This window comes from Homo sapiens, chromosome 4 (assembly GCF_000001405.40).
Source record: "Homo sapiens chromosome 4, GRCh38.p14 Primary Assembly".
NCBI classification, from domain to species: domain Eukaryota; kingdom Metazoa; phylum Chordata; class Mammalia; order Primates; family Hominidae; genus Homo; species Homo sapiens.
The window spans coordinates 20,026,598-20,035,712 of NC_000004.12; the positions used below are offsets into that span (position 1 = coordinate 20,026,598).

General features: G+C 32.6%; 1 annotated feature.

Moving 5' to 3' along the window:
• Window positions 1,435-2,634: an enhancer, noted in NCBI's record as "CDK7 strongly-dependent group 2 enhancer chr4:20029655-20030854 (GRCh37/hg19 assembly coordinates)". NCBI's record gives its function as "activates an origin of replication core promoter dependent on BRD2, BRD4, P300/CBP, MED14 and CDK7 cofactors, with strong dependence on CDK7, by STARR-seq in HCT116 cells {active_cell/tissue: HCT116}" and the evidence as "EXISTENCE:reporter gene assay evidence [ECO:0000049][PMID:35650434]".

Consider the following 9,115-nt stretch of genomic DNA (forward strand, 5'->3'; position numbering starts at 1 on the left):
AATGAAGTGCCAACAGACATAGGATTTCTTCCATTACTAAATTCTACATTCCTTTGTCTAGTAACTGAAGCAGTTGTAATCGCAACATACTTCTAGCAGCAGCCACAAATATTTTCCTGTTCTTTGTATCACAGCTATAGTGCTATGACCCTGAAACCAGAAATCCAGTGCAGCTCTCTGACATTTATTCCTTTGTCCTTTCAGCAATTTTCTAAGTACCTAATTACCTTTGGATTGAAATACCCAGAGAGGTTTCTGTTTCCCACATTAAATTTCACTGGTAGAATAATGTGTTATATTTAATTATTTGTTAGATTTTTAAAATCAGGGTTAGTTATGGTAAATGCTAAGGTTCTGTAAGAGCTTAAAATTTAGTTAGCTAAATAAAAGTATATTTATCCTTTATATAATAGTTCAGAGATACATACATTTTTATTACTTTGCATTGTAAAAAATGAGCATTCTAATTATAAAAATATACTGATTTTTCTGTTATATTAATAGTTCTCAAATCTCAGGCATTAGGAAGATAGTGGTTCTTAATAGAGAACCTATGCCAACAAGTTTGGGAGTGAGAACAAGTTTAGGAGACTAGGTGGAAGCTGCCCATAAGAATATTGTACAGGCTCCTGTATATCTGGAAAGATATTTCAACGACCTATACATATATTAAACCAAATCATAGAAGTAAAAATAAGGAGAGATTATTTTGGAAAGGGATTTCTGTCAAACAGAATGTGACACATATTCTCTTTCTAGTCTATTTTATTAGCCAGAACTATTTCAGTTGCAAATTTTGTATATTCACCTTAAACTAACTTCAAAGAGTAAGTTGGTTCGCAAACCTAAAAATCCCAGGGGTTGATTACGCTTCAAGCAAATGTGGGTCCAGGATTTCCAAATATTGTCAACAGGACTGTTTCATTATTTTCGTTTTCATTTTATTTTATTTTCAGTCAATACAAAGTCAATTTCATTATCTGAGCTACCCAAGAAGGGACAAACTTCTTTTTCAATAAAAGTCCGATAACAATTCTTAAGCCTCACTGGAAATGATTTAAATAAGATCATGTACTCATCCCTGAATCACATTTTTGAGAAGGCATTCAATACTCTGAATAGGTCATATTTCCACTTTGAAGAGGAAGGTAAAATCAGCTGTAACACAACACATGTAATGACACTGGGCAATTAAGTTATTTTCCCATGAGAATTAGTTTGTTCTTACTAGAATAAGAAGGTATTGATATTAAGCAGGTAAATATTTGTAGGTCAGTCTCCAGCTAGATGGCCAGTACACTAAAAATATGTAAACCATTTAATTAAAGTTATATCTTATATATTTACATGCTAATGTTTTATATTTTAGCATCAAACTTAATAATCTTATTTGATAAAAACTTTGCTATGTCAAATGTAGAAAATAGTGCATAATGGGTGCAAAATAAATATTTGTTGAGTTAGTTAATGTGTTTCCATTGGCAACATTTATTCATTATCTATTGCCATATTTTAAAAAGAATTAAAAACATTATTGCTTAAAAACAATAGATATTTATTTGTTCATAATTGTGTGGGTCAGCAATTTGGTCAGGTCTCAGATGGTATATCTCTTCGCTATTGTCAGTTGGACTCACTCATGCATTTGGAGTCACTTTTCAACTGGCAAGTTTTCGGCAGTTATAAAATGTTTCTGACTTGTCCCAGAACACCACGCTCAGATGCTTGGAGGTTGTCTGGAGAAATAGAGATGGCCGGACTATATATCTGTCGTCTGCCTACAAACTGATCACAGGCTTTCTTTTACAATAACTGTATTCACAAAACTTGAAGACAAGGAAAGACTCAGTGTACAAACACTTTTAGGCCTCTGTTTGGATAATGTTTGCTGATACACCTTTGGCTGTGGTAAATCACCAGAAATGGAGAAATAGATTCTACCTTTTCATAAGGAAGCTTACAAATTGTATGGCTTTTTTCATGTTTAAATTTACAATAGTCCAATTTATTTACATTCCTCTTAGTTGCAAAATAATTCATCCTCCCCAAAGACTTCTCAAGAAATCTCATCAAATTTCAATATCAGGCTCAATGATCAGTATCTGGTCTAAGATAGATGTATCTCTTATGATTCATCTCCTATCGATTTAGTGACTCGTAAACTAAAAGGATAAGTTACCTGACCTGAACATGGATACTCCCATTCCAAAAGAGAAGGAGTAGAAGGTCACATTACTCTGCAAACACAAAGTTTTTCTTGATGAAAGATGAATTCTGCTTCTTGTGAGTAATTCCTGAGTCTATTTTTCTTCATGGTACTTGGTTCCGCCCTCTGAGTCATTCTTCCTTTTAGAAAAAAAGTACCTAAGAAAATGCTCCACCTGATTTCTACTTCTAGAAAGTTAAAGGCACAAAAACATTTTCCAATTTGAACGAACTCACTTTTAGTAAAAGTGGTAGTGCTTTGATTTTTACTACTTCCTTCAAAATTCTATATGTTTCCTATGAATTCACAAAGCTCTAACCATATTTGCTAATGCTGCCCTTGTTAAAGCAAGTCACGTGGTCAAATCCATTTTCAAAGGGTGGAAAAGTGGTTTCCATCTCTTAATGGAAGAAGTTACATGTTATGATGGCTTTTTCTTTTAACACTACCACAAAATTAAGGTTTAAACATTCAATAGGCAATATTCATTTTTATTTACCAAAAGTAATTAAAAAAATGAGAACTCTTTTTGTGAGATAAGCTCTTGATTCTTTGTAAATTGACTTTTCCCCAAAGAAACTTGCTGTTAATTAGCATCTGGCATTAAATTCAGACTAATAAAGAAAAAAATAAATGTGGACTATGTAAAATATTTAGTAGACATGAGACTCATAAAAGAAGAAATAATATTCAAAATCTTATTTACTGTAGTCTCTAAATAGTCTCAGAATAAGATGATGAAGCCCAGAATTATAAATTGAGCATTAATACTAACCTCATATTGTGGGGTCTAAAATAAGGATATTATATACAATTGCAAACTAATCCAGATATCCTTACAGATCTTACCTCTAACATAATAAATGACAGTTATTTATTGGGTGAATGAGAATTTTTGTCCCTAAAATCTATCTCCCAGTGTTAGTATTATATTAGATTTAATTTAGAATACTGAAATTTACTGCATGACATAGTGAGAAAGGATAGTGAAAATCTTTGTGAGCCAATAAATGCTTTCAAGTCCATTGTTCAGGGTCAGTATACTTTGTACAGTTTCTATAGAAACCATATTTCAATAACAAATATCTAAAATAAAATCACCTTGAAGCAAACTAAAAATACTCGACTTATTTCATTATAGGTTATAAGTTTTAGAACAACAATTCAGTGAAACAAGCCCTATAGAATGCCTCTTTTTTTATAAGCTGTTAGTAAATCAGAATATAACAGCCAAATAGAAGATCTTAATAAATATCACAATTGCTGCTTTGTTCTATTTCCTCAAAGCTTTTTGTATTTTCCATATTTAGGCATGAGATGAAAGAGGAGGTGTGGTAGTTTATGGGAATGGAGGAGCAGCTGGATAGAAAGATAGATTTACCTTTGGAAACTCATATGCAAGGGAAGAAATCTACATAATCATTTCAATGCAAATTATGACATCAATATACCAAATGTTACTGAGAACTCCATTAAAGCAAAGAAAACATGAACTTAACATCTACTTTTTTATTGCTAGACTCTGTTCTAGGTTCTAGGAATAAAGTTATCACAATAGTATTATAAAAGTAAATGAGTAACCTATAAAAAATGAAAATAGGTGTATTTGTGCTTTACCTTGACAATGTTCTTTAAAAATAACCTGGTGTAAAACTGGGATTTTATTGGGGAAAGAGTGATTTTAATATTGATGATGACAGAAGTTTAAATATATTGGCTTGTTTTAAAAAGTATTAGTTATTTAAAATCTTCTGTTAAAATATATGTCTATTATAATGGAAACATAAAAACTATTGTGACCATGAGGAATGGAAAGCTCTATTTCAACTTAAGGAATCTGTGAAGATAATTTTGAGGAGAAACATTTGTGTAAGACTTTTGGGTATGCAAAGGAAAAGAATGTGATAATTCACTAAGGGGATGGATTTCTTATGATTTTTATTTTCTTTCTCTACTATAGCTTTATGTTTTCAACCGACTTGAAATTGGGTTCATTTGTATCCACATAGCTAAACTAACAGTACAGAGAACTGAGACTATCTTTATCAATGTGATAATTATTTCTTTCATGAAATTATTCCTCAAGAAGATAAAGCTATAAACCAATTAATAGCTTCACCATTTGTTTCAGGAAATTCTTTTAAATGAATCATCTGGACAAAGAGTTCCCTCATGTTGGCTATTAGTTGTATTCAATATAGAATACTCATTCACTTGGGCAAAGTTCTTGCTTATGAAACAAAAGAAACTCACCTAATTTTTTTCAACAATCTTATAAATTATCTTATGAAATTTTCTCAAATACAATCAGTCCCTACCTTGAAAAATCCACTTTAAACTACTTGATTCCAGATCCCAACCCCTATAAATATCCTTCTTTGAACTCCTTATTTTGTGACATAACTAAGATTCTATTAAGTTCATGATTTTTCCTCTTAGACTATGTTAATATATTGAGCTTTGCTTAACCAACAGTTTATTCTGGTGGTCTTCGAACGGAGTCAACTGCTGACAATTTTAGAGTGCTGACCAAAATTCAGTTGAGACACCTTTGCTACCGTGGTTCAAGACCCTTGACTCAGAAAGTCAACTACTCTGAAGCCCTGGAGCTTTTTACTAAGGACTCTTCATGACCATGTGATGCTCTCCCTTACAGAAGGACATCTAATAAATATTTGCTTGATCATTGTTTTTCTGTTGTTTTGGTTGTTTTGACAGCCAACAACCTAAGTAATTTGCTTATAGAGAATCTTACCATTCCATATCCCTAATTTGAGTTTCATTTTTGGCAGATATGATTCCCAGATTTTTTTTTCCATTGAGAAAAGTAAATATCACAATGAATAAATGTCCGTTCAAAGGTCACCCAATTATTAATGAACACAGATAAAGTTTGTATCAAGGTCCAGCTAAAGTTATCAAGACTAGTGGTACACACTGCTGGTTAAAATTTATGTAAGAGAATTGTGCCTCCAGAAAAAATGGAATAGTTGCACTTTTCTCCTCTTGCCAAGTGTGCTAAAATCCTGAAAATTATATATAAAAGAAATCTATGGAGACGCTAAAGGATGAAGAGAAGAAAACAGAAAAGTTAAGGACCTTGGGACCCAAGAAACAACATAGGAATGAGTACCATGGGTTTGTGGTTTTCATTTTAATTTTTAATTTATTTTTAGTTTTTGTCTTCATTATGTCAGAGAAGGTGCTGAAGAAGCCAGACACCTGGAACTGTCAAGGAGTGTGAACAAAAATGCCTCAGTATAAATATGCTCTCTTTATCCATAGAACCAAGAAAGGAAAAGCCTAGCAAGATAGAAGTATTTTTAAATAACTGCTGTATTCTAGCTAAATGCCACAGAATAAAACTACAGCTTCAACTCCAACTCTGCTAGCATAGGTCAAGTGGGGAACTTTCACTGCACCCACACCAGGTTGTAACAAAGTACTGCAAACCCTCCATGTGGTGCCAAAGAAGGTTGAAGAGATAGCCATGACTTTCGTCTCCACCAGGCACCTGTGAGCCCTCTTCTCCTTTTATGTTAGTAGAGGCTACATGAAGAGAATAGACTTCTACACACATGTGGTAATAACAAGACACCTCACCCACTCTCTGCTGGGAGTCAGATGAGGCCTAGTGTAGAGACAGCACTTTTTTCATTGCCCGATGTTAAAGATGTTGATATCCTTTGGCTTTGTGCCCACCTAAACCTCACCTTGAATTGTAATAACCTCCATGTGTCAAGGGCAGGGCCAGGTGGAGATAATTGAATCATGGGGGGCGGTTTCCCCTATACTGTTCTCCTGGTAGTGAATGAGTCTCATGAGATTTGTTGGTTTTATAAAGGGGTTCCCCTACACAAACTCTTGCCTACTGCCAGTAAGATGTGACTTTGCTCTTCATTCGTCTTCTGCCATGATTATGAGGCCTCACCAGCCATGTGGAACTGAGTCAATTAAACCTCTCTCCTTTACACATTATTCAATCTCAGGTATGTCTTTATTAGCAGCATGGGAACAGACTAATACAGATGTCATCCCTAACAGCAACAATATAGGCCATATCAAGATTAGGAACAAAATGCTACTGTTCCTCCCATATAAGCTGGTATAAGCAGGAGCCTCCTGGGGATCCTACACTCCCACCTAGGTCTAGCACTATTGAAGAGCCTCCAAACCTCTGATGTTAACAGAGGCCAAGTAAGGAATTTAACTATCATACTCACCTGGCAGTAATTTGGCAACACCTTTCTTCCCCCAGGGCAGTTGTATTGGAGGAGATCTGCTAAACAACAAGATTTAAATAATATCCAGTGTCTCATAACATTACATCCAAAATGCCCACATTTCAACTGAAAATCACCCATCATACCAAAGACAGAGAAATCTCAAACTGAACAAGAGAAGATAATTATCACACCAAAAGCAAAATAACAAAGATGTTAGAATTTTCTGACAAGGATTTAAACCAGCCAGTGAAAATGCTTCAAAGAGCAATTACGAACACTCTTGAAACTAATATAAAATGAAAAATTTCAGCGAAGAAAGAAGAATAAAATGGAAAATTTAGACTGAAAAATACAATAATAAAAATGAATTTCTTATGCTTAAGAGCAAAATGGAGAAATCAGAGAAAAATATTGGTGAACATAAATATAGGACACTAGATATTAAGTAATTTGAATATGAGAGATAAAATATACTGGAAACAAAGACTGTGGAACAATGACAAAAGATCTAACATTCATGTCATAAGAGTCCCATGAGGAGAGAATAAAAGGTAAGGCTGAAAAATATTGGAAGAAATAATGTCTGAAAAATTTCCAAATTTATTAAAACAAAAAACCTACAGATTTACAAAGCTGAGTAAACACAAAAACGTTTAAATACAGAAAAAAAATATGCAAGGGCATCTTGTAGTCAAACTTCTAAAGACAAAAGTATATATGTATTCCAAAAGAGGCAAGAGAGAAAAAAAAAACACTTTATAGAGTAAAACTATTTTAATGACAGAGTTTTTTTTTACTCAGAAACCATGGAGGTCAAAAGGAAATAACATCACATTTTTTAAATATTAAGAAAACTGTCAATACAGAATTCTATGTCCAGCAAAAATATCTTTCAGGAACAAAATGGAAATCAAGATACTCTTAGATGAAGGAAAGTTAAGAGAATTTGTCACCATCAGGCCTAACTTAAAAGAATAGCTAAAGGAAATTTTCAAAGCAGAAAGGAAATAATAAAAGAAGTCTTGAAATATTAAAAAAAAACAATTGAAAGAGTAAACATACAGGTAAATGAAACAGATGTTTCTTCTCCTGATAAGTCTTGTAAAAGTAGTTCAAAGGCCAAAGCATGAATTATAACATTCATGTGATTTTCAATGTATAGAGATGAAATATTTAAGACAATTTTTATAGATGTGGGAAGATAACAAAATGGAAAGGGAGATAATTTTTCCCATACTTCATGGGAACTGATATAAGTTATATATCTTATTTATAAAATACTGAACGTAAATAGGCAAATGGTAAAAAAATGTATACAAAAAGATACATTCAAAAACAACATAGATAAATCAAAGTAGAAGTATAGAAATGTTTGAGAAACCCATATGAAGCTAGGAGAAAGAAAATATTGAAATAAAACTCAGAGAGGATAAAACAAAAACAAAAAAATTAAAATTGTAGACTTAAGCTATTTAAATAAATAATTAAGCCATAAATCGATACATTTAATGTTTAGAGTAGATCATGCCTACGTAGAAAAACTAAAAGAGAGAGATTGAAAAAATTGCCTATAAAATCATGAGCCATCTAAACATAGCTTATAAAATATTGACTTCAAATATAACATTAGTAGGTTGACAGCACATGAATGCAAAAAGTTATACTATATAAACATAAATGAAAAAAGAAAAAATGACTATATTCATACCAAATAATGTATACTTTAGAACAAATAACATTTCCAGAAAATAAAAGGTTTTATGTAATGATAAAAGGTAAATTCACCAGAAAGAGATAGTAATTCCAAATATAGATAGACTAAACAAAAGTGCTACAAAATATATGAAACAAAAGTTAATAGAAATGTAAAATGATAAATAAAAAATGCAGAAATACAGATGATCTCCAAGACTATTTTTTAACAATTAATGAAAGAACTAGACAGCAATTCAGCATAAATATGTACGACCTCAAAAACACCATCAATCAACAGTATCTTCTCAACATTTATAGAACACTCCATTCAACAAAAGCAAAATATACACTCTTCTCAATAGCTTATTGAATAAATACCAAGATAGACTACATCCTAGGCCATAAAGCAAATATTAACAAATTTAAAGTAATTGAAATCATATTGAGTGTGTTCTCTGACCACAATGAATCAAACTGGAAACCAATGACAGAAAGATAACAGAAAAACATTTCAACAAATACAAACTAGACAGAACCTTTAAAACAACTGATGATCAAAGAGGAAGTCTGAGGAAAAGTAAGATAATATATTGTAATGAAAGGAAATAAAAATATATCAAAATATGTGTAATGCAGCTAAAACAGTGCTGAGAGGGAAATTTAGAGAACTAAATAAATGTTATAATGCAAAAGAGGAAAAGTTTCAAAGTAATACTTTGAGGTTCTACATCAAGCACTTAAAAAAAAGAAAGACAAAATATACCCCGCAAGCAGAAGATAAAAGTATTTCTTCCTAATGTTAGGGATAAAGCACTCACACCATCACCATCAAGTATAATATAAAACGAAGTTGAGACTGTGCATGGTGGCTTATGCCTCTAGTCCCAGCTACTTGGGAAGCTAATGAAGGAGGATGGCCTGAGCCTGGGTGGTTGAGGCTGCACTGAGCCGTGATCATACCACTGTACTCCAGCCTAGGTGACAGAGC